This window comes from Homo sapiens, chromosome 2, assembly GCF_000001405.40.
Source record: "Homo sapiens chromosome 2, GRCh38.p14 Primary Assembly".
Classification (NCBI taxonomy): Eukaryota; Metazoa; Chordata; class Mammalia; order Primates; family Hominidae; genus Homo; species Homo sapiens.
Genome location: NC_000002.12, coordinates 237,911,070 through 237,934,815, shown reverse-complemented (window position 1 = coordinate 237,934,815; position 23,746 = coordinate 237,911,070). Strand labels below are relative to the sequence as shown.

The 23,746-nt window shown below is 51.0% G+C and overlaps 1 protein-coding gene and 1 long non-coding RNA gene across 6 annotated transcripts in view, besides 3 other annotated features; one reads left to right on the top strand and one right to left on the bottom strand.

Annotated features, from left to right (window-relative positions):
* Positions 1 to 598: 598 nt before the first annotated feature.
* LOC105373960 (uncharacterized) lies at positions 599 to 11,930 on the top strand. Its single transcript, XR_924046.3, has 3 exons — positions 599 to 672; positions 11,094 to 11,376; positions 11,759 to 11,930. It is a non-coding gene; the product is annotated as an uncharacterized LOC105373960 (long non-coding RNA).
* Positions 1,335 to 1,504: an enhancer, noted in NCBI's record as "experimental_57230 CRE fragment used in MPRA reporter constructs". NCBI's record gives its function as "activates a minimal promoter by MPRAs in K562 erythroleukemia cells, with activity observed for both the introgressed and non-introgressed 2:238842039 variant alleles {active_cell/tissue: K562}" and the evidence as "EXISTENCE:reporter gene assay evidence [ECO:0000049][PMID:34662402]".
* Positions 10,884 to 11,093: a silencer, noted in NCBI's record as "silent region_12482". NCBI's record gives its function as "represses an Ori minimal core promoter by ATAC-STARR-seq in GM12878 lymphoblastoid cells {active_cell/tissue: GM12878}" and the evidence as "EXISTENCE:reporter gene assay evidence [ECO:0000049][PMID:35858748]".
* Positions 17,242 to 17,442: a silencer, noted in NCBI's record as "peak4100 fragment used in MPRA reporter construct". NCBI's record gives its function as "represses an SCP1 promoter by STARR-seq MPRAs in K562 erythroleukemia cells {active_cell/tissue: K562}" and the evidence as "EXISTENCE:reporter gene assay evidence [ECO:0000049][PMID:32103011]".
* RAMP1 (receptor activity modifying protein 1) overlaps positions 22,710 to 23,746 on the bottom strand; it is a 53,227-nt gene continuing 52,190 nt past the window's right edge. For all 5 annotated transcript variants that reach the window (XM_017003153.3, NM_001308353.2, NM_005855.4 and 2 more), the window contains one exon: positions 22,710 to 23,288. In XM_017003153.3, the coding sequence (XP_016858642.1) occupies positions 23,033 to 23,288 (256 nt within the window). In that variant the 3' untranslated portion in view covers positions 22,710 to 23,032. The remainder of the gene's footprint in view (positions 23,289 to 23,746) is intronic.

Below are 23,746 nucleotides of genomic sequence, written 5' to 3'. Positions count from 1 at the left end.
AGCTGGGACTACAGGTATGGGCCACCACACTCAGCTAATTATTGTATTTTTGGTAGAGACAGAGTTTCTCTGTGTTGCCCAGACTGATCCAAACTCTGGAACTCAAGAGATCCATCTGCCTAGGCCTCCCAAAGTGCTAGGATTACAGGCGATGAGCACTGCGTGGGGCCCAAAATATATTTATTGAACACATTCAACATCCAGCGTCTGTACAAGGCCATGGGTGCTCTGAGCAGAAAACAAACAGGCCAAATCCCTTCTTCATGGGTCTTAGACGGCAGTAGAGGAGGCCAGCCAGCAGGGAATGAGCACTCAGAGGAGGCGTGGTGGGGAAGGAAGCAGGCCGAGTGGGCCACAGGGAGGGCTGGGGCTGGATGGCCAAGGAGGGCTTCACGCTGGGCACAGACCTGAGGATGGTGAAGGGTGGAAGAAGTCATTCCAGACAGAGAGAACTGCAGGTGCAAAGGCCCTGGGGCTGTGCTTGGCTCACTTGAGGACAATGAGGTGGTAGGCAAGCTGCCTGGTGTAGGAGGGGCAGACAGTGAATGGGATGAGGTCACAGTGGATGCCAAACCTGCGCCATGTAGAACCTTGCAGGCCACTGCAGGGATTTGGGCTTTTACTCTGAAGTGGATGGGAAGCCACTGGCGGGATCTGAGCAGAGAAGACATGGTATAGCTGCTCTTTTAAAAAGATTACTCTGAGGGCTCCAACAGACTGTAAGGAAGAAAGGTGAAAAGTAAGGAGAGTAAAAGCAGGATTACAGCAGCTGTTTTGGTGTCTCGGAATGTGGTCTTTGTGGTGTAGGCAATGAGAAGTGATCAGATTCTGGGCTGACTGTGAAGATGGAGTGGACACGATGGACTGATGGGGTGGAGAGGGGTAGAAGGGGAAGAGACCAGTTGAGCTGGACTCTCAGTTTTGTGGTCTGTGTGATTTGGAGGATGGCGGTGCCGCTGCTGAGGCAGGGGAGAGGCAGAGAGGAGGAGCACGCGAAGCATCAGGCTTTGGGTCGGGCGCGGTGGCTCACGCCTGTAATTCCAGCACTTTGGGAGGCTGAGGCGGGCAGATCACTTGAGGCCACAAGTTCAAGACAAGCCTGGCCAACATGGTGAAACCCCGTCTCTACTAAAAATACAAAAATTAGCCGGACGTGGTGGCAGGTGCCTGTAATCCCAGCTACTCCTGCTGAGGCAGGAGAATCGCTTGAACCCGGGAAGCGGAGGTTGCAGTGAGCCGAGATCGTGCCACTATACTCCAGCCTGGGCGACAAGAGTGAAACTGTCTCAAAAAAAAAAAAAAAAAAAAAAGGAATAAAAGAAAAAGTGGGCTTTGGATGCACGGTCTGAGACGCCACTTTGTTCTTTAGTTTCTTCAGGTGGTTCAAAGTACAGGCATTTCTTCTTCATTTACAATCTAGGCTTTACGTTTCCCTGATTCCTGCTTTAAGGGCATCCTGTGAACTTAGGTATGTTGCATTTCCTTTTTTTTTATTTTTCTTTTTGAGACGGAGTCTCGCTCTGTCACCCAGGCTGGAGTACAGTGGCATGATCTCGGCTCACTGCAACCTCCGCCTCCCAGGTTCAAGCAATTTTCCTGCCTCTGCCTCCTGAGTAGCTGGGATTACAGATGCCTGCCACCATGTCCAGCTAATTTTTTGTATTTTTAGTAGAGATGGGGTTTCACTGTGTTGGCCAGGCTGGTCTGGAACTCCTGACCTCGTGATCTGCCCGCCTTGGCCTCCCAAAGTGCTGGGATTACAAGCATGAGCCACCACACCCAGCCTGGTATGTTGCATTTTCATTTTTATTCAGTTCAAAATATTTTCTAATTTTATTTTTGGTTGACTCATGAATTATTTAGAAGTGTGATATCCAGTTTCACATACTTGGGGATTTTCCAGAGATCTTTCTGTTTCTGGTTTATCATTTGATTCCACTGTGGTCAGAAAACATACTTAGTACAGCTTGCATTCTTCAAAAACATTTTTGAGACTTTATGACCTGCATTACAGGGGTGTCGAATCTTTTGGCTTCCCTGGGCCAATTTGGAAGAAGGAGAATTGTCTTGGGCCACACATAAAATACACTAACACTAACAATAGCTGATGAGCTAAAAAAAAATGCAATAAACATATTATTATTATTATTATTATTTTTGAGACAGAGTCTCACTCTGTCACCCAGGCTGGAGTGCAGTGGCATGATTTCAGTTCACTGCAACTCCACCTCCAGGGTTCAAGTGATACTTGTGTCTCAGCCTCCCAAGTAGCTGGGACTACAGGCATGCGCCACCATGCCCAGTTAATTTTTGTGTTTTTAGTAGAGACAGGGTTTCACCATGTTGGCCAGGCTGGTCTCGAACTCCTAACCTCAAGTGGTCCACCCACCGCAGCCTCCCAAAGTGTCTCATAATGTTTTAAGAAAGTTTATGAATTTGCGTTGGGCTACATTCAAAGCTATCTTGGGCCACAAGTGGCCCACAGGCTGCGGATTGGATAAGCTTGGCCTAGAATATGGTCTATCTCTGTAAATGGGTCCAGATACAAGCTCAGCAATTGCTGTTCTAAAATTCTGCACCTTCTATGTTTGTTTGTTTATTTATTTATTTATGTTTTTGAGATAGAGTCTCGCTCTGTTGCCCATGCTGGAGTGCAGTGGCACAATCTTGGCTCACTGCAACCTCTGCCTCCTGGGTTCAAGCGATTCTCCTGTCTCAGCCTCCCGAGTAGCTAGGACTACAGGTGCGTGCCACCACACCTGGCTAATTGTTGTATTTTTAGAAGAGACGGGGTTTCGCCATGTTGGCCAGGCTGGTCTCAAACTCCTGACCTCAGATGGTCTGCCCACCTCAGCCTCCCAAAGTGCTGGGAATACAGCATGAGCCACCGCACCCGGCCGGCACCTTCTACGTTTATTGTTAATTGAAAAACAGTCTTGAGCTGTGCCAAGGATGCCTGGGGATGAATAGAACTGTTTGGAGCATGTGCCTAACCTGTAACTGTGGCACTGCCACTGCAATGCATTGTGGGGGGTGGGCTGCCCCCACTTACATGACAACTGTGACAATCATTGCTCTGGAATAATCAGGATTCTCATTTGAGACTCCAGCTGGCTTTGATATTTCGTTTCTAGAGACTCACCCAGCAGTGTAAGAAAATAAACAAACTCTGAGAGGCTGTGAGTTTTGAATTGCAGAGGGTAAAACCAGAGCCAAAAGTTCCAGAGAAAATATTTCAAGCTTCGGGTGTGTTTGAGGAACTGAGAAGTCACAGAATAGCTGGAAAAGAGGATGTAGTGTAAAGTAAACTCAGCTGCACAGACATATGGTCTGTTGGTGGAACTGGAGTCCGACCAGATAATGATCATCAGCGAGGCAGTGCTCTGAAGAAGCCTCTCATCCACAGGTGGGGGTCCGGGCTGCTGCAAACAGTTGCGCAGGTGTGCGCTGCACAACTCAGGGCCACCGTTAACATCACACATAATGGCACATGGCAAAAGGTCCCATTAGGTACAGCCCTGTGGCTTTACCATGTTAAATGCCTTTCGTCTTTCTGGGCCAGTCACTGTGAATCTGAGTGCCTGTGAGGGCACAAACCCTGCACAGTTCCTCTGCTCCTGGCAGTGTAGCATCCCATAACTCCTCCCCAGGGCCCTGCCAGTGCCAGCTCAAAAATCTCCCTGTGGGAGGGTATGGCAGAAAGACCCTAGGGTTCATGCCCTATATAATCCCTTCCTCTTGAGTGTGAGTGGGACCTGTGACTTGCTTATAACCAGTAGAATATAGCACAGGTGACAGGATGTCACTCCCATGACTGAGTTACTATAGATACCTAGACAAGCCTCCATCTTACCAGCACACATTGGAGATTCTCCTTCCTGGCTTGATGAAATAAGGACCGTGTTATGTTATAAGTTCACCTAACAAAAAACCACTAACAAGGACCTGAGGGGGACCTTCAGTCAGAGGCCAGCAAAAGCCAGGGCCCCTTGGTCACATGCCCCACCCATTCAGTCCACTGGGCTGCACTGAGCTTGTGCACCAGCTCAGCCCGTAGCTGGGCCATGTGTGCCCCAGCCTGCCTGTGTTATAGCTCCTACCCACATTTGGTGGTTCCTGAACTCTTGTCTCATGTCCAGGAAGAATGAGGTTACCCTGACCATCGAAGGATGAGGAGGGCAGATAATAACTGTATTGAGTGATGGAAAAGTTCTCAGTGGAGAGGGGATGCAAGGGTTGTCCTCCACTCTAAGTTGGGTGGTCTCTCCTTCAGTGTGGCTGGGTCTGGGATTTTATAGGCTCAGAATGGGGAGTGTGTGCTGATTGGTTTGTGAGTATGCAAAAAAGGTTAAAACAAAGGCACTGCTCAAAGGTGGGCATGACAGTGTAAAAAACCAATTAGGGTAGGGTAGGTTTCTGTAAAATAGGTGAAGGGTGGGGATCAATCAGAGGAAAGTGCACCAAACGGGAAGACGGGTTCTCAATCTGGTCCGTGGATTTGACTTGTAGCTTGGCTTTCAGGTTTTAAACTGTCTTTGTCTTGGAGGTAGGGTTTCACTGGGGTTCTGCCCCATCTGCCTAGGCATGTGTCTGCCTCCTGCATCTGCAAGAGGAGGATGTGACCCAGCGGACACCTGGTGACAGCCTCATGAGACCCTGCCATCTCAGAGGACATAGCTGGGCCACGCCGGGACTTCTCACCAGCCGGGAAATATGTTACCCAGCGATATAAATGAATGCAGGGGGTCTTGAGAACACAGTCCAGTTGGAAGCAGAAAATAGGTGACTCGTCTTCAGATGGTGAACATGCTATTTGTACTTCAATTGTGTGTTTAGCTGGGGTGGCTTGGGGGTGCTGGTGGAAATTACAGTAGGCAAAGTCCCTGTGGGCCACCCCAGGACCCAGCAACTAGCCCAGCAGCCTGGAGGAGTGGGAGGCATGGCTGGGCCCTGGCCTGGGGAAGGAAGGGGATATTTGCTTGGAACATTCTAGTACAATTAATTGGAATGAAAGTGTTGTCATTTTAAGTTTCTGACAGTTTGGTTAGGTTAGACTTTAAAAATCGTAACGTGGCCGGGCATGGTGGTTCATGCCTATAATCCCAACACTTTTGGGAGGCCAAGGTGGGTGGGTCACTTGAGGCCAAGAGCTTGAGACCAGCCTGGCCAACATGGCAAAACCCTGTCTTTACTAAAAAATACAAAAATTAAAGGCGGGGCGTGGTGGCTCACGCCTGTAATCCCAGCACTTTGGGAGGCCGAGGAGGGCAGATCACGAGGTCAGGAGATCGTGACCATCCTGGCTAACACGGTGAAACCTCGTCTCTACTAAAAAATGGAAAAAAATTAGCTGGGCGTGGTGACAGGCACCTGTAGTCCCAGCTACTTGGGAGGCTGAGGCAGGAGAATGGCATGAACCTGGGAGGCGGAGCTTGCAATGAGCCAAGATAATGCCACTGCACTCCAGCCTGGGCGACAGAGTGAGACTCCGTCTCAAAAAAAAAAAAAAAAAAAAAAAACACACAAAAACAAAAATTAGATGGGCATGGTGGTATGCACCTGTAATTCCAGCTACTCAGAAGGCTGAGGCACAAGAATCACCTGAACCCAGGAGGCAGAGGTTGCAGTGAGCTGAGATTGTGCCAGTGCACTCCAGCCTGGGCAACAGAGGGAGACCCCATCTCAGCAAAAACAACAAAAAAAGAGGATACACAAATTTCCTTCCTAACCAGTACCCCAGTAACTTTCCTCTGAGTCAACCAATGTTGTTTCTCGTTTGACCTGCTAGAAAATTTCAGTGGACAAATTCGATTATTTTTATGTTCCTTTCACCTAACAGAATTTTGTGGGGTTAATTCCACATCAGTATTTACAGATCTGCGCTGTGCTTGTTAGTTCGTGATTGTGTTTTGTACTGGTGGATGCGTGGTTCCCTGCCTCACCCGCCCAGGAAAAAACATTCAAATGATCTTCTAGAAAAAGCCTCGGTTCAAGGTCAAGATGGTCTCAATTCATGCACAGCTGAAGCTATCGACTCTCACTTTCTGTGGTGACAAAGCCAAGTCCCTGTCAATTACACCCCAGAACCTGGAAGGCTCCTGCCGAAACCCACCCGATTGTCCCATAGAACTGATGTTTATAGGCCAGGTGCAATGGCTCACGCCTGTAATCCCAGCATTTTGGGAGGCTGAGGTGGGCTTGAGGCCAGGAGTTCGAGACCAGCCTGGCCAACATGGCGAAACCCCGTCTCTACTAAAAATGCAAAAACTAAAAAAAATTAGCCAGGTGTGGTAGTGTGCGCCTGTAATCCCAGCTACTTGGGAGGCTGAGGCGTGAGAATCACCTGAACCCAGGTTGCAGCGAGCCAAGACGGTGTCACTGCACCCTAGGCTGGGCAACAGAGTGAAACTGTCTCAAAACAAAACAAAACAAATCAAGACTGATGTTTATAGTTTATTTTGAGTAAACATAGAAATTGCGCCTCCCAGTCTTGAAATTTGAGAAAGTTATGTTTGTTTTTTCTGAGCTCCTTTCTCAGGAGACCAAGCAGCTGGCCTCCCAGATAGTATCAAGAAGCTGAAACTCACCAGTCACTGCATTTGGACAATGAGAAGCCAAACCCCTCACCTCTGATGACTGCCTAACTGGCCACCTGCTCCCTGTTAACTGACTCCTCTTCCTTACCCCTCCCTAATTCCTGCTTTCCTGCATGTGGTTACGTTTCTGCTGTACCAACCCCTAACTGTAGTCAGTCGGGATGGATTTGAGACGTATACCCCAAATCCTTGGCTGCAGCACCCAATTAAAGCCTTCTTCCAGGGCAATAATTGTGGTTTCAGTGATGGGCGTGGCAAGCACTAGGACCTAGACCAAATTCCTGGTGTTTTGGTAACACTGCCAGCCATGCCAAAGTCCCAGTTTGCCCAAGAAGACTTGTAGGAGCAGCTTTGAGGGTTTGTAACCCTCAAAGTGGATCTCCCAAAGCACAGAAAGAGGCTGCCCCAGAGCTAGTTCTCTGCCTCCTGGAGAGAGATCCATTGCTACTTGCAAAAGATGGACTGCCCTGCCCTACCTGCCTACTTCCCCTAGCCCCCATCCCGCCCCTTTCCTCTTCCAGCCTCTGGTGGGATCAGGTGTGGGGTGCACACCTGTAACCATGGAATTCCCTGGGGAGAGCCAGAGGTATCAGTGGCTTTGGTCTTCATCCCATGGGTTTCTACTTAGAGCCTGGTGCCATCTTTTAGCTCTGGGGGTTTGGGGTCCTGGTGTTTCTCCTGATCCTTCCTAGGAAGAGCACAGGGTGTTCATAGGTTGTCATAGGCTGAGCCAGGTTGTCATAGGTTGAGCTCTGGTGCAGCTCCAGGGGTGAAGACCCATCATCTTCCTGGTGCCACCTGCCCATTCTAGAACAAAGAATCCATCAAGTATTGATCAGGGTTTCAGCGGCCAGGAGGCTGGACAGCTCCATGTGAACTCCTACCCAGCGTGTTTGGCCTTCTCAAGAAAGAGGGTCATTTTTGCAAAAGTACTTGATCGGTTTTCTCCAGTGCGTCTCTAGAAACTTTGATATTCAAATTACTGTCTTTTGAACCACCTCCACAATCATCTGTGTTGCGTTTGAATTTCAGTGTTGGGTATTTTCATTCTACAACCTACAGGGACACTGACTCACCAAACTGATGGAACAGGGACAGCCACTGTTTTTATCTTTTTAAAATAACATTTTATTTTAGAACAGTTTGAGATTTACAGAACAGTTGCAAATAGAGTACAGAGAGCTGCCATATACGCCACACTGTTAACTCTATCACTAACATTTTATGTGAATAAGGTACATTTGTTACTATTAATAAACCACTATTCAAATGCATTATTGTTAACTAAAGCTTATATTTTATTCCTATTTCCTTAGTTTTTTCCTAATATTCTTTTTATATTCAGGAGCCCATCCAGGATACCACATGACATTCAGTTGTCATGTTTCCTTGAGTTCCTCTTGGCTGTGACAGTTTTTCAGACTTCTTTTGTTTTTATGATCTTGACAGTTTTGAGGAGTGCTGGCATATATATATATATATATATATATATATATATATATAATTTTTTTTTTTTGAGACAGGGTCTCACTCTGTCATCCAGGCTGGAATGCAATGGAGTAATCTTGGCTCACTGCAACCTCCGCCTCCAGGGCTTAGGTGATCCACCTCAGCCTCCCGAGTAGCTAAGACTACAAGCACACATTACCACGCCCGGTTAATTTTTGTATTTTTTGTAGATATGGGGTTTCACCATGTTACCAAGGCTGGTCTCAAACCCCTGAGCTCAAGCAATCTGCCTGCCTCGGCCTCCCAAAGTGCTGGGATTACAGGTGTGAGCCACTGCACCTGGCCTTTTTACTTTCTTTTTCTTTCTGCCTCAGCAGCTGCACAGAAATACTCTCTTGATGGAGTCATTTGATGCAAAAAAGTTTTAAGTTTTGATGAAGTCCAATTTATCTATTTGTTCCTTTTGTGGCTTGTGCTTGTGGTTTCATACTTAAGAAACCATTGCCTGACCCAAGGTCATGAAGATTTATACCTATGTTTCCTTCTAAGAGTTTTAAACTTACATCTAGGCCTTTGACCCATTTCAAGTTAATTTTCACATATGGTGTGAGGTAGAATATACATTCTTGACCAGGCGAGGTGGCTCACGCTTATAATCCCAGCACTTTGGGAGGCCGAGGTGGGTGGATCATTTGAGTCCAGGAGTTTGAAACCAACCTGGCCAACATGGTGAAACCCCATCTCTACTAAAAATACAAAACAATTAGCCTGATCAAAATAGACTCCTTCCCTGCAAAATGACTACAGACTGGCTTATGAATATGCATGCGAAAATACTCAAGAAAACAGGGGCCTTTTGTGCATAAGTTCCTAAACTTGCGGGGGCAGACTGCTGTTATGAAGAGTGTCATAACTTATACATGGGCCACAGGCCTGTGCAGTAATTCACCAAAGAAGACTTCCTATGACCACACCCGTGGGGAAAACATTGGCCTTGCTGTAATCAGATGTGTGTAATGAAAACTGCAGTTGGGAGCATCTTTTCCTGATCCAGCTGTTAAAGTTAATACCCAGTTCTGGCTAAAGTTCTGGCTAAAGTACTGGAGTAAGCAGAAACTTGCATCAATACTGGTGTGTCGGGGAGATGCAAACATGCGCGAGGGATATGGCAACAGCTACGCAGAGCCTAGGGATCTCCTTGACCCAAATATTCTATTTCTAAACATTTGTATTATGGAAGTGCACATCAGAGCGTTATTTATAAATAGCAATAAACAAAACAGGCCAGGCACAGTGGCTCACACCTGTAATCCCAGCACTTTGGGAGTCCAAGGCGGGCGGATCGCTTGAGGTCAGGAGTTGGAAACCAGCCTGGCCAAGAAGGTGAAACCCTGTCTCTACTAAAAATACGAAAGTTAGCCGGGCGTGGTGGCAGGCGCCTATAATCCCAGCTACTTGGGAGGCTGAGGCAGGAGAATTGCATGAACCCGGGAGGTGGAGGTTGCAGTGAGCCGAGATAGTGCCACTGCACTCCAGCCAGGGTGACAGAGTGAGACTCTGTCTCAAAAAAAAAGTAATTAATAAAAATGTAAACAAACAGATGAAACCCCTGCCCTTCAGAGCTTATAAAAAATGTGTAGTCATTTTCTAAAAAAAGTAATTTTTAAATTGATAAAGCCATTTACAAAAGAGTATGAGGCCATTTTAATTAATTAATTAATAATTATTATTATTTTTGAAACAGAGTCTCCCTCTGTTGCCCAGGCTGCAGTGCAGTGTCACAATCTTGGCTCACTGCGAATTCTGCCTCCTGGGTTCCAGCGATTCTCTCACCTCAGCCTCCTGAGTAGATGGGACTACAGGCATGCACCACCAGACCCAGCTAATTTTTGCATTTTTAGTAGAGACGGGGTTTCATCATATTGGCTAGGTTGGTCTCGAACTCCTGAACTCAAGTGATCTGCCCACTTCAGCCTCCCAGAGTGCTGGGATTACAGGTGTAGCCACCGCGCCCAGCAAGCCCCCCCTTTTTTTTTTTTAATACAAGCATCTATCTGTCTATCATCTATGTACTTAAGTATAAATTAATGCCAAAATGTATGTTAAAGATTATCTGAATGGTTGGAATTAAGACGGTTTGTTTACCTGCATTTGCTTTTTATTCTTTTTGCTTTGTTTTTTGAGACCGAGTTTCGCTCTGTCTGCACTGGAGTGCAATGGCGCAATCTCGGCTCACGGCAACCTCGGCTTCCAGGGTTCAAACGATTCTCCTGCCTCAGCCTCCCGCGTAGCTGGGATTACAGGCTACATGGCGCATGCCACCATGCCCAGGTAATTTTTGTGTTTTTAGTAGAGACGAGATTTCACCGTGTTGGCCAGTCTGGTCTCGATCTCCTGACCTCGCGATCTGCCCGCCTTGGCCCCCAAAGTACTGGGATTACAAGTGTGAGCCACCGCGCCCGGCCTTTTTTACCTGTGTTTTCTACAATGTACTTGTATAATAAAAGAAGGTGACAAGAAATAGGGGGAAATTGGTAACAAGCTTCATGTCTAACAATAGAGGATTGGCTGATGAAGTGTATGTCACATTTATTTACAATTAATGACGCCAATGAATAGTTTTTTTCAGTACCACGTGCTAGGCATTAGATGTTCTTTGGCTGTTCTGTGCTGTACATGTGACTATGCTTTTTGTTTAAAAGAAAAGGAGAAAAAGGAAAGGAAAGGGAAAAAAAGGAGAAGAGAGAGAAAAGAAAAGAAAAGAAAAGAAAAGAAAAGAAAAGAAAAGAAAAGAAAAGAAAAGAAAAGAAAAGAAAAGAAAAGAAGAAAAACAAAAGATAGAAAAAAAGGGAGGGGAGTAAGAGCAGGAGAACTCATGGCGTCCTGGGCGGGGCTGCCGGGCTCGCTCCCCGCAGGGCCCTCGTGGCTCCCCTGGCTCGCGCGCGCCCCTAGCGGGCGTCTGGGGTCCTGCGGGCCGTGCGGTCCCGTGTCATCGCGCTGGGCAGCCCCGGGTCCACAGGGCAAGCTGCGCCCCTGTTTTCTTTCCAGGGTCCCCTGCCCTCCAGCGAGCCTAGTTGAGCCCCAGCTGGACTCCAAGTCGAGCCTCTGCAGCCAGGTGTCCGCCAGATGTCTTCCACGGCCAGCAAGGGAACCGCCTGGGCACGCGTCAGTCTGGCCTGTTTCCTGATCCAGAAAATTATTTTCAGCTGCGCGTGACCTTCCACGGGGCCAGGACCGGAAAACTAGACAGCAGTGATCTTTTTAAAACCGTGGACTCTATGAACTAGGAAAGTCCCCTCCAAACTCGTCAACAGGAATTCACTGCTTATTGGTACCAGTTTGGGAAATCATTGTTTTTTAATTAAAAATCAGGGGGCTGGGAGGAAAGGAGGGTCCCCTGGCAGTCTTGGGTGGGCTGCAGGGCTGCAGGAACGTGACAGCAGGGGCAGTGGGGCTGTGGGAGGGTGCTCTGCCCGTGGGGCCAGCTTGTGATGGGCTGGGGACTGAGCTGTGCTCTGGGGACACACAGAGATTCCTCACTCAGCTGGGTGGCCTTATGTTCCCAGGGTTTTCCCACAACTTGTCCTGGCTGGGGGGCTGAGCTTGCCAGCCTTCCTGGGGAACAGCGGGCCAGGGCAGGACTCCATCCCCAGGAAGCACAGGTGAGGCTTACAAAACAGGTGCAGGACTTGCAGACGCAGCTCTCCTTTCAGCAAACCCTGCTGAGACGCAGAGCGGAGAAAACAGGAGGTGCCCCAGTTTCTTCTCCCGGGTAAGACTGAGAGCTGTCCTTGAACCTGATCGGCCAGAGAGAGTGCTGAGGAGAACCAGAGCATCCCGTGGGGCTCCCTGGGCTGGGCTCTGCCAGGTGGGTTTCCCAGGAGATCGGCCATGACAGCTGCTGTGTTGGGCACTCCTCCAGGGCAGGGGTGGCCCCGGGAGAACTTGGGCAGGAGGGGGCATGAGTCACACAGAGGGTGGCCCACTGGGTTTATGGTACCCGGAGTTGCAAACACTCAGGTGTGAGTCACCTGAGTGCACACGTGGCTGGAGGCAGACAGCCTCCCTTGCCCTCCCCTCCTCCAATCCCAGCTCCTGATGGTTGTACCCTCTCCTGTGCTGAGGGCAGCAGAGACTCATTAGCGAACTGGGGGCCCTGGAGTCGGAGAGCTGGCTTCCAATTCCGGCTCTAGTACCCGCGCTCAGGGACACTGGGCATGTGTTGTCACCTGCCTGTGCCTCAATCTCCTTAACTGCAAAATGGACATAACCTCCAGGCTGATGAAGACTAGGAGAGCAGAGGTCAGGGATGGGCCCCTTCATAGGGGCTCAGGGCCTTTCTGTTCCTCCATTGCTTTCTCCGGCCTGGCCCGCTGTGTGAGGCTGGCCGGCAGACATCTGTCTCTCTCTCAATTTTAAAAAATTTTTTTAGTAGGGACAGGATCTCACTGTGTTGCCCAGGCTGATCTCAAACTCCTGGCCTCAGGCGATCTGCCCACTTCGACCTCCCAAAGTGCTGGGATTGCAGGGGTGGCATCTGTTGGCCTCAGGAAGCAGGCCCAGGCTGCACTCCTGCCCTTGTCCCCCACCTTCCCCGGCAGGCTGGTTTGGCGGTCCTGCCCTCTCCACCCCCACTCTCCCCCATGGGGGAACACAGGCATCAGTGGAGAGTTGCCCATTTTTCAGAAGCGGGATGACAAGCCCCTGCTGCCTTTCACCAATGCCCGTGAATGCACCTGCTTGGGAATCCTCTTTGGAATCTCCCTGAGGTCTTCTGCCCCTCCCCGTGTCTCCCTCATTAAACCACATTTTCCCACAATGAGAACGTGCCATGATGTGCGTTGATGCAAAGCAGGTCTTTATTCAATCTTGTGATGTTTCCGTAGCCAATGCCTTACTGCAGTGCCGTTTTCCATGACTTTTCACGTGAATTACAACACTTTAATTCCATTCCAGCTTAAATTGGCTGTGTTGGGTCAGGTAGAAAAGCCCACTGCCCTGGGTGACACTTTTATGGTTGGGGAAGTGGCTCTTGTCCTGGCTGAGTTGTGTCCTTGCCTCAGAATGTGACTTCACATCTTGAAGTCCTAACCAGCAGTACCTCAGAATGTGACTGGGTTTGGACCCAGGGTCTTTACAGAGGTGACTAAGGTTAAATGAGGTCACTGGGTGGGCCCTAACCCAATGTGACTGTGCCCTTATAAGAAGAGAAGATTAGGGCCAGGTGCAGTGGCTCATGCCTGTAATCCCAGCACTTTGGGAGGCCAATATGGGTGGATCACCTGAGGTCAAGGGTTCAAGACCAGCCTGGCCAACATGGTGAAACCCCATCTCTATTAAAAATACAAAAATTAGTCAAGCGTGGTGGCACACACCTGTAATCCCAGCTACTTGGGAGGCTGAGGTGGGAGAATTGCTTGAACCCGGGAGGTGGGGGCTGCAGCGAGCGGAGATTGCGCCACTGCACTCCAGCCTAGGTGACTGGGCGAGACCCTGTCTCAAAAGAAAAAAAAAAGATTAGGATGCAGGCACAGAAAGACGACCATATGAGGCAGGGAGGAAATGACAAGCCAAGAAGAGAGGCATCAGAAGGAACCAACCCTGCCGACCCCTTGATCTCAGGCTTCCAGCCTCCACAGCTGCGAGAAACGCACTTCTGTTGTTTAAGTCCCCAGCCTGTTATAGCAGCAGCTTGGGCAGACTCCGACTGCACTGCTTTATCCTCAGCCGAGCCCGAGGAGGAGGAGACAATCCCCAAACTCGATCGTTTCCTATCATTATGATCACCGATTATTCTCCTTTTGACTCACCCGACCTTCTGTGCAGAAGGGCTGGGAACACTGAGAGACGGGAGCATTTACCCACATGTGTTCACGTGCACGTGCAGCCACAGCTCCCAGCCCTGCTGTGAAAGTGAATCACTATGGCCCCGGTTAGCAGCGTTTGCCATGTGCCTGCCACATGGCCAAGGGCTGTCTTCACTGTGAGTCCCTGAAGTGTCCATGGCCAGCACTCTGCAGGCGATGACACTGAAGCCCAGAGGGTTGAGGAGCTTGCCTCGCCTTTCTTCCTTCCTTTCTTTTTTTTTTTTTTTGACATGGGGTCTTATTCTGTCACCCAGGCTGGAGTGCAGTGGTGTGATCATGGCTTACTGCCTCCCCAGCCCAAGCGATCCTCCCCCACAGCCTCCTGAGTAGCTGGGACTACAGGCACATGCCACCACACCCAGCTAATTTTTTAAATTTTTTTGTAGAGATGAGGTCTCACTATGTTGCCTAGGCTGGTCTCAAACTCCTGGGCTCAAGTGATCCTCCAGCCTCAGCCTCAGCCTCCCAAAGTGCTGGGATGACAGGCGTGAGCCACTGTGCCCAGCCTGCCTCACCATTTTTAATCGGCACAGCCAGGATTTGGTTTCAACTAAGGCAGCTTGGTGCCATCACTTCTATGCTACAACTTTTAAAAATATTGTTTTTTAAAACATTTTATTTACATTATATACTTTCACACCTATGACCATCTGAAACTTTTTTTTTGAGATGGGGTCTTGCTCCGTCACCCACACTGGAGTGCGGTGGCATGATTTTGGCTTGCTGCAGCCTCCCACCTCCAGGCTTAAGTGATCCTCCCACCTCAGCCTCCAGAGTAGCTGGGACCACAGGTGTGCGCCACCATACCTGGTTAAGTTTTTGTATTTTTGGTAGAGATGGGGTTTCGTCGTGTTGCCCAGCCTGGTCTCGAACTCCTGAGCTCAAGCAATCTGCTCTCCTCAGCCTCCCAAAGTACTGGGATTACAAGTGGGAGCCATTGCACCCGGCCTGACCATTTGAAACATTTTAAAGGTGGCACTGCTTCTTGTAAGAAGAGATCTTAGGTGGCAGGGGCAGGGCTGGGATGTAGGTGCTCTCATGGCAGGATGCACTGGGGATGGAAAGCAGCTGCCACCTGTCATGGACATGCACCTCCAGTCACCCCTGTCTGCCTCCCGCCCTGCCCCCAGAAAACAGGAAGCAAACTTCCCCGGCCTCCTGTCAGAGTGTCTGTGGGGAAGCGATTCACGTGGGGGCATGAGCACTGTCCCCAGGCCCAAGGATTGTGGCTGGGGTGGGGCAGAGAGGGATGCTTTGGAGGGCTGCTCTCTTCCCGCTGTTCCTCTGCACCCCCTTCACATTTTTGTAACCCAAATAAAGATGGGCACCCATGGTCCACCTCCGCACAGGCCCAGGAAGAAAAAAAACAAAGTCAGATCCAAGTTCACTTCCTAAAATAGCCTTGAAAAGCAATTTAGGTCCTTCTTAAATTTGTTCTAGGGGGAACCAAAGTGCAATTATGTTCACAATCTAGAGAAAAATGTCTTGAAACCTCTTTCCTCTCCCGTTCTCAAGGCTCCCAGCCTACATCTGCTCTCTTCTTGCCCATTCTCATCCCTGTCCCCAAAAAATACGGGTCCTCTGGCAGGTGGCCTGCTCTTTGGAGCTCAAACACCATCCTTGGAATAGGGCATGTGACCAATGCTAAGTCATCTTTTCCATGCACACAAAATTATCAGAAAGATGAAAAGTTTGCTCAAAGTCACTCAGCTAAAAAGGGGTCCAGTCAAGATCAGAACCTGCTGGGCATCGTGGCTCATGTCTGTAATCTCAGCACTGTGGGAGGGCGAGGTGGGTGGACCACTTGTCAGGAGTTCAAGACCAGCCTGGCCAACATGGTGAAACCCCGTCTCTACTAAAAATGTAAAAATTAGCCAGGTATGGTAGTGGGCGCCTGTGATCCCAGCTACTTGGGAGGCTGAGGTAGGAGAATTGCTTGAACCTGGGAGGTGGAGGTTGCAGCGAGCGGAGATCGCACCACTGCACTCCAGCCTGGGAGACAGAGCGAGACTCCGTCTAAAAAAAAAAAAAAAAAAAAAAAAAAGACTCAGAACCTGCCAAGGCTGATCTAATGCCAGGGAGTGACAGCCCAGTAATTGGGATGTGGCACCTAGATCCAGACCATAGCCTGTTGTGTTGTTATCGTTTCTGCTAGTTGTATTATGTGCTCTCCCCCTACTTGGATATGGCCTGGGGAATGTGTTCACACACACACCAAAATTGAGATCAGTTCACTCTCCTTTTTCATAATCTGCCTTTTCCAATTAACTCTACACTATGAAAAAAAATTCCCATGTACTTAATTTAAGAACTTGTTTTTCCCAGCCAGGCATGGTGGATGGCTCACGCCTGTAATCCCAGCACTTTGGGAGGCCAAGGTGGGTGGATCACTTGTGGTCAGGAGTTCGAGACCAGCCTGGCCAACATGGGGAAACCCTGTCTCTACTAAAAATACAAAAATATAGCCAGGCATGGTGGTGCACACCTGTAATCCCAGCTACTGGGGAGACTGTGGCAGAAGAATCGTTTGAACCCAGGAGGTGGAGGTGGCAGTGAGTGAACCAAGATTGTGCCACTGCACTCCAAGGCCTGGGTGACAGAGTGAGACTCTGTTTCTGGAAAAAAAAAAAAAGAACCTATTTTCCTTGTCATCTGGATTTGATTGGATTGAACAGTTTTTCCCTGTCATCTGGATTTGATTGGATGGAACAGTTTTTCCCTGTCATCTGGATTTGATTGGATTGAACAGTTTTTCCCTGTCATCTGAGTTTTAATCTGATTGACAGTCCTCCAGTGTTGGGCACTGAGGGTGTTTCCACCCTTTGCTCTTATAAATAACTCCAGTGAAGATCTTTCCCTCCTGTCCTTTTGCACATCTTTAATTATGTCCTTAGGATATATTCTTAGAAGGGAAATTACCGGGAATAAGCATTTTAAGACTTTTGGTACATATTTCCAACTTGGCCTCCAGAAAGATGGTACCATTATCTATCTATCTATCTATCTATCTATCTATCTATCTATCTATCTATCTACCTATCTATCTATTGATCTATCGATCTATCTATCTGATGGAGTCTCTCTGTCTCCCAGGCTGGAGTGCAGTGGTGTGATCTCAGCTCAAAGCAACCTTCGCCTCCCAGATTCAAGTGATTCTCCTGCCTCAGCCTCCAGCGTGGTTAGGATTACAGGCTCGTGCCACCATGCTTGGCTAATTTTTTTGGATTTTTAGTAGAGACTGGGGGTTTCACCAAGTTGGTCAGGCTGGTCTGGAACTCCTGACCTCAAATGATCCCCCCGCCCTGACTCCCAGCCTCCCAAAGTGCTGGGATTACAGGCGTGAGCCACCGTGCCCAGCCTAGTTTTCATTTCTGACAAACAAGAGGCAGATTGCATCTCCAGAGGCCTCAGGGCTTTCTCTCCGGCAGGAGTGACCTGTTCCCAGGCTCAGGCTCATTGTGCATTCTGGTGCTGCCTCTGCCCCTCCGCTCCCAGGCTGTCTGTGGCCTCCTTAGTAGCAAATCCAACAGGGATGTCCTTTCTTTGAAGATTTTTCCAATCCAGAGCTGCTTCTTGGTTTACAAGAAACCCTGTCCCCAGAGCAATTTTATTTCTGGGAGCTCATTAAGACAAACATTAAGTGACGTACTTGGGCAATTCCATTTCCCATGCTAAATTCCATATTTTTCCCTTGCTTTTTAAAGCTTTTTTGATTTCCAATTCATTTTTTTCCTATGGATTTCTGTGACATTTTATGACATGGATTTTTATGACAAGCTCTGGATAAGAGAGTGTTTCTCCAGCTCAGGACACAATAAAGCCACTCAATCTCATTTCTTTTAATTAAAATTGGCTTTGGAGGCCGAGTGCGGTGGCTCACACCTGTAATGCCAGCACTTTGGGAGGCCAAGGCGGGCAGATCACCTGAGCTCAAGAGTTTGAGACCAGCCTGGCCAACATGGCGAAACTCCGTCTCTACTAAAAATACAAAAATTAGCTGGGCGTGGTGGCACATGCCTGTAATTCCAGCTACTCCGGAGGCTGAGGCAGGAGATTGCTTGAACCTGGTAGGTGGAGGTTGCAGTGAGTCGAGATCATGCCACTGCACTCCAGCCTGGGCGACAGAGTAAGAGTCTTTCTCAAAAAAAAAAAAAAAATTAATTAAAAAAAAAGAACAAAATACCCCCCCAAAACCAAAAATCAAACACACACACACACACACACACACACACACCCCTGCCACTGGTTTCCCAGTCAGCTTAGTAGAGACCCCAGACCCTCCCTGTGTCAACACTGCCTCCCGTCCTGGGCCCATCAGAGAAGGCTGGAGAAGGGACGGTGCTTCCATGCCCGGCCCACCTCTCCTTTACCACCCTACGTGCCGGCGTTCAGTTCTTGGTTCCCAGCCTTGTGATGTGCAAATACTTGACCAGGAACCTGAGCGGACAGGGCATCCTGGTAAGGGCAGAGCTTTGCCCATCCCAGCCACAGCTGGCCTTGCCCGTAGACCTCACCCGCTGCCCATCGTGACCTGACGATGAAGAAGGAAAACCGAAAGCTCTCTTGCTCCCCCTAAACCTTCGCAAACACACATTCTGAAGTCCAGTCTAAATACTGAGAAATTCTCCATCACCCTCGTCTCTTCCCTTAGCTTGGATAATTTTAAAGTAATGACATTGCGCACTGTTAGTACTGTCTAAAGCATTCTAATGATAACGCCTACTGAGCCGTGATTTCAGGAGGGGCTGCAGAGGCTGTGTCCTCTGAAGGCTCTGCGGGGAGCCTCTGTGTCTCGCAGCTTCTGGAGTGATACCTCGGCCCCCCCGTTTCTTCGCTGCATGGCTCCAATCTCTGTGGCCTTCTCTCTCTGTCCTGGTGTATCCCCTCTTCTCTAAGGACACCTGCATACTGAATGCAGGGCCCACTTTAATCAAGTACAATCTTATTTGAATTTAACTAATTACACCTGCAAAGTCCTTATTTCCAGATAAGGCCACATTCTTTGGTTCAACCAAGGGAGCAGAGCCGACCGAGGGCCCCAGCTGCTGGCTCTGAAATGCCTCGTGGCTTCCTGCGAGGCCACGCTTCACGAGGGCTGCCCCGCTGCTTGAGGCTGGGGTGGGAAGGGATTCAGGCAGACCTCCTCCCCCAGGAAGGCTCTGACAGCTGGCTTTGGTGCAAGGACACCCCCATGGCTTTGTGGAACCTTAGACGGCATGGCAGCCTAGGGCAGATCCCCGGGTCTTCCCCACTGGCTCCCTAATGCTTCTGGAGTTTGCCCCAATAACCACCCTGCATCTGAAACCCAGTCTCCACATCTACTTCTCGGAAAACTCAGACTAACCCATTTTACCTCATTAACATAATACCCACTTGAGGAAGATGCCATTATTGTCCCTGTGAGTTGGGAGTGTGTGGAGGCGGGACAGTAAGGAAGACCTGGTCTCAGCGTGGTCTTTTCTGCGGCCCCTCCCCTCCCCTCCCCTCCTCTTCGTCTCACTCTCCTGCTCAGCCTGGAGTGCAGTGGCGCCATTTCAGCTCACTGCAACCTCCGCCTCCTGGGTTCAAGTGATTCTCCTGCTTCAGCCTCCTGAGTAGCTGGGATTACAGGTGTGCACCACCACGCCTGGCTAATTTTTTGTAATTTTAGTAGAGACGGGGTTTCACCATGTTGGCCAGGCTGGTCTCGAACTCCTGACCTCAAGTGATCTGCCTGCCCACCTTGGCCTCCCAAAGTGCTGGGATTACAGGCGTGAGCCACCATGCCCGGCCTGTCACATTTATTTCTGATGACAGTAGACATACTTTTCCAAGTTGTAGAATAGGCATACCATCCTTCCAGAACAGCCAACACTCTGAAGTTTATGAAATTGGGTGACATCTTTTGGATCAGACCTTTTTTGATTAGAGTGCTCTGGGAACACCTTCTCCTACATAAAACCAGCCTCTGAATTTCAGTGTCTAGTTTCCCTTGGTCTGCTTCCCTATAATGGGGCAGTGGTCATGAGGGTCTGTCGGTGCTGTGATGTGAAAAGCAGCCACGGTCCCGGTGTCCTGGGAAAGGTTACTGTCCTTAATCAAAACAAATCTTATTAATCTGAGGCAAGTGGTAGCACAGCTGTGAGTGGCCACCTAGAAAGATGTGTGGCAGGAGATTCATGTCCACAAAGTATAACACACCCCTCCACAACCACAACCAGCAGCAAACAGCAGGCCTGGAACCAGTGAAAAACCCACGTCGTGACCACTGAATAAAGCAATAGAACATTGGAAGGGATAGCTGCACTTGAAGGTTACTGTTTGTACACACACACACGCACACACATGCACACACATACGTGCACACACACGCACGCATGCGCACGCACGCATGCACACACATGCACCCACATGCATGCGCACACACACGCACACACGCGCGCGCACACACACACACACACACACACACACGGCTGGCAGAGCACATGGCAGGGCCTTGTCCTTGAAGATGCTACAGCCCTAAAACGGATTCTGGGAGGATTCTGCATGTGCAGCAGTGGGCTCTGCATCCCCACCTGGGGGCCCGGGGGCCGCGGGGCTGCTGAAGCCAGGGCCTGGGGCTCTGCCACTGGTGGTGTGACCGTGGGCTAGCCACTAGGGTCCTCAGGACTCCCTGGCTTTCTAGGGGAGAAGTGGGGGATGAGCCGAGACAATTGTCCCATTTTCTTCCAGCTCTCATAACCACTTTGTGTCATGAGTGCAGGTGGGTTACAACTGGGCCCTTAGGAAAGGAGGCAGATGGAGGAAGAGCTGGCTGAGGGCTCAGGGGTCCCTGGATCCCAGGGAGGGGTGAGATTTCTGGAAGTGGAGATGGCGGAGTGAGTGGTGTGGACTAGACAGTGTCTTAAAAAGCATTGTCAACTAAGGTGACAAATGCTTACTGGTAAGAGGACAGCCCCAGCCTGGCCTCACTGATAATGTTCCCGGAGTGGACCTGTGGGCCATCCCCGTGGGCGCTGTTTTGGTGGTAATTTTCAGTGAATCCCTCTTTTCCCCAGTCCCCTGCAGGAGGACTCCATCCCAAGCTCCCACGCCTGCCTAGCCGGCCGACCCAGCCATGGCCCGGGCTCCAGGGCGGCTCAAGGGCTACCTCCTCCGGTGGTCCCTGACTTAGGTCCCAGCACAGCCCCCCAACCCAGGTTGGCCCGGCTGCAGGTTGTCTGAGAGATGCCGTCGGTATCGCAGGTCGAAATCGTGTGAGAAGCTCCCACCTCCCGTCTCCTCGCCCTCACTGGGGCCTCTCAGGAAAGGCCAGCTTGTGAACACAGGGGTGAGGCCTGGACCCCAGTGTGGCCCAGGGGGCAGGTCGGGGAGGAGCTGAGGGGGGAACAGAGGAGAGAAGGGGGAGGCAGCATCCTGGCCCCTCTTCGCCTTCATCTGTCCTGTGTATTGGAGTCTCTCAAGGAATCTTCTTGGACACATTATTGAAGTAACTCGGGCAAGTGACTTGAACTCTCTTTTCCTCCTCTGTGAAATGGGCACAACGACAGGCTCTCCCTCAAGGGGCTTCTCTGGGAGTTTTATGAGCACAAGTTCACAGCGCAGTGCCCGGCTCACGCAAACGCTACTGCTGTTGTCATTCTTATTATTTCCTTATGGCCCAAAGCCACTGGCCCCAGAGCACCCTCGGCTTCTCCACTCACAGGTGGTGACATCCTAGAAGCGGAGGAAGCTGGGGCCTGGCGTAGCAGACTGACCAGACCCTCACTGAGGGCCCAAGGCTGAGACTGGGTCACGGACAGTGGAGTCCCGGCGGTTCCCAACAAGACAGAGACTAGGATCAGTCCCTGAGGCCACCGCCCACTGTCAGTAGACCCTGGGCTCCTCTCCTGACCCAGTGTAAGGTGCAGCCACGCCTGCTCCTCTTGGGAAAACGGGCCCACACCACAGCCACGGTTCCGCTGGAGAAGCCGAGAAGCCACTCGGGGCTCCTTCTGGTCTCTTAGGCTGGGGATGCCTCTTGGGACTGGCTGGGTGGGGAGGTGGGGACTGCCCGTGATGGGTGCACCTTGTGGGCGTGGGGTGGGGACCGCAACACCCAGGAGGAGGCTCAGGGGCTCTGTTGGGGGAGGCTGCTGTGATGGGCTGCCTGGGGTCTGGTGGGCTCAGCCCAGCCTGGGCGGTGGGTGGCCCCACGTGGCTGTGGTGGGCTACAGCTGAACCTACAAGGCCACGGCACCGGCTGCCGTGTTTGGATGGGGCTGTCCTGTGGGGCAGAGGGAGAGGACAAGCTGAAGGTGATGGGGGAGTGGACACTCTTCTCAGTCACTGGAGAAGGGACAGGTCCTGGGGGCTGCAGGGACCCGAGAGGAGGGGTCTGAACTCAGGGGACACCCCGGAGGGACCGTGGAGGGGCTCCTTTGGGGAGCCAGAGGCTTCTGGAAGCTGCAGGTAGGGGCGTGGGCAGAAGCATGGATGGAGAGCAGGGAGGTGACGGGCAGAGGGCCAAGCCCGGTGATGCCTCGGGGACAGACAAGAAGAGAGCCTGCACCCAAGGCCCCAGGTATCTGTGGGGAGGGTCCCAGCCCTTCCTGGTCTGTGAGCTCAGTGTGTCCAGCCCTGGTCTGGACTGTGTCGCCGGGGGGCAGCAAGGGCCCCAGAATCCCCAGGAGCACCTCAGTGCACTCAGCACTGGCTCCAATGCCACCCCCGAGCAAAGGCCCCTGATTCCTCCTGTTAGAGGAAAGAGAGTCCGCAGGGCCTGGGTTTCCACCCTTCTCCCAGTGATGGGTACCCAGAGATAATGAGTCTTTCCAAGTTCAAGAACATCCCTTTTAATCACAAACCACTCATCCACAAATGTGGCTATGGGGTAAGCAGTCTAGGCTGGGACCCTTTCCAGAGGTAAGTCAAGGTCACGTCCCTGCCCCCTTCCTAGGGTGGCGGTGGCCTCCAGCCAGGGGGGCTTCCAGGTTAATACCAGAGCCTCGGCTACTCTGGACTCCTGTGAGCTCTTCTTGGCTGGAAGAAGGGGGGCATTGTGGGCCTGCTCTGTCCCAAGGCTCCAGAAGCTGCCCCTACCCAGGCCTGCCTGGCCTCACCCTGCAGCCTGGGTGCACCCGCGGGCAGCCTGGGCCCCGCCTACACAATGCCCTCAGTGCGCTTGCTCTGCCAGACCACCAGTGCCGTCACCAGCAGGGTCACCGTGATGGGGACCACGATGAAGGGGTAGAGGATGCTGCCGGGCGGGTCCCGCACGGCCCTGCCTGAGATGGGGCAGCTCCTGAAGTAGCGGCCATGCACTGCCAGGAAGAACCTGTCCACCTCTGCATTGGGCCAGAAGCAGCCCAGCTTCTCCGCCATGTGCCAGGTGCAGTCGGCCAGCTCCCTGTAGCTCCTGCGGATGGAAGAGGAGGTGGTAAGACCCTGGGCAGGCGGGGGATCCAACGCGGGACCCCAGCCCGGGCTGCTGCACCGTGGCCCCTCATGCAGCCCTGAAGCTTGGCTCGGAGAAGCCCCGACGCCGAGGCAGTGGCCCTGGATCCAGGAGGGCAGGGGCCCGATGGCTCCAAGGGGACTCCAAGGCGACCTGCATGGCGGCCCGTGGTGCAGGAAGCCCTGGCGTGGCCGTGGGGCCCCTCGCAGCTCTGTCTGCACCAGGAGGACAAGCCAGGCTGGGTGGCCAAATAAGGCCCGAACCTCTGCCACCAGCTCCTCTGCCACCAGCTCCTTCTGCCACCCTGGGCAAGGTCGCAGGCTGGTGTCGCGTCTGTGTGTGACTGTTATTCTGTATGTGACTGTAACTGTTATTCTTTGTGTGTGACTGTGTGTGACTATGTGTAACTGTTATTCTGT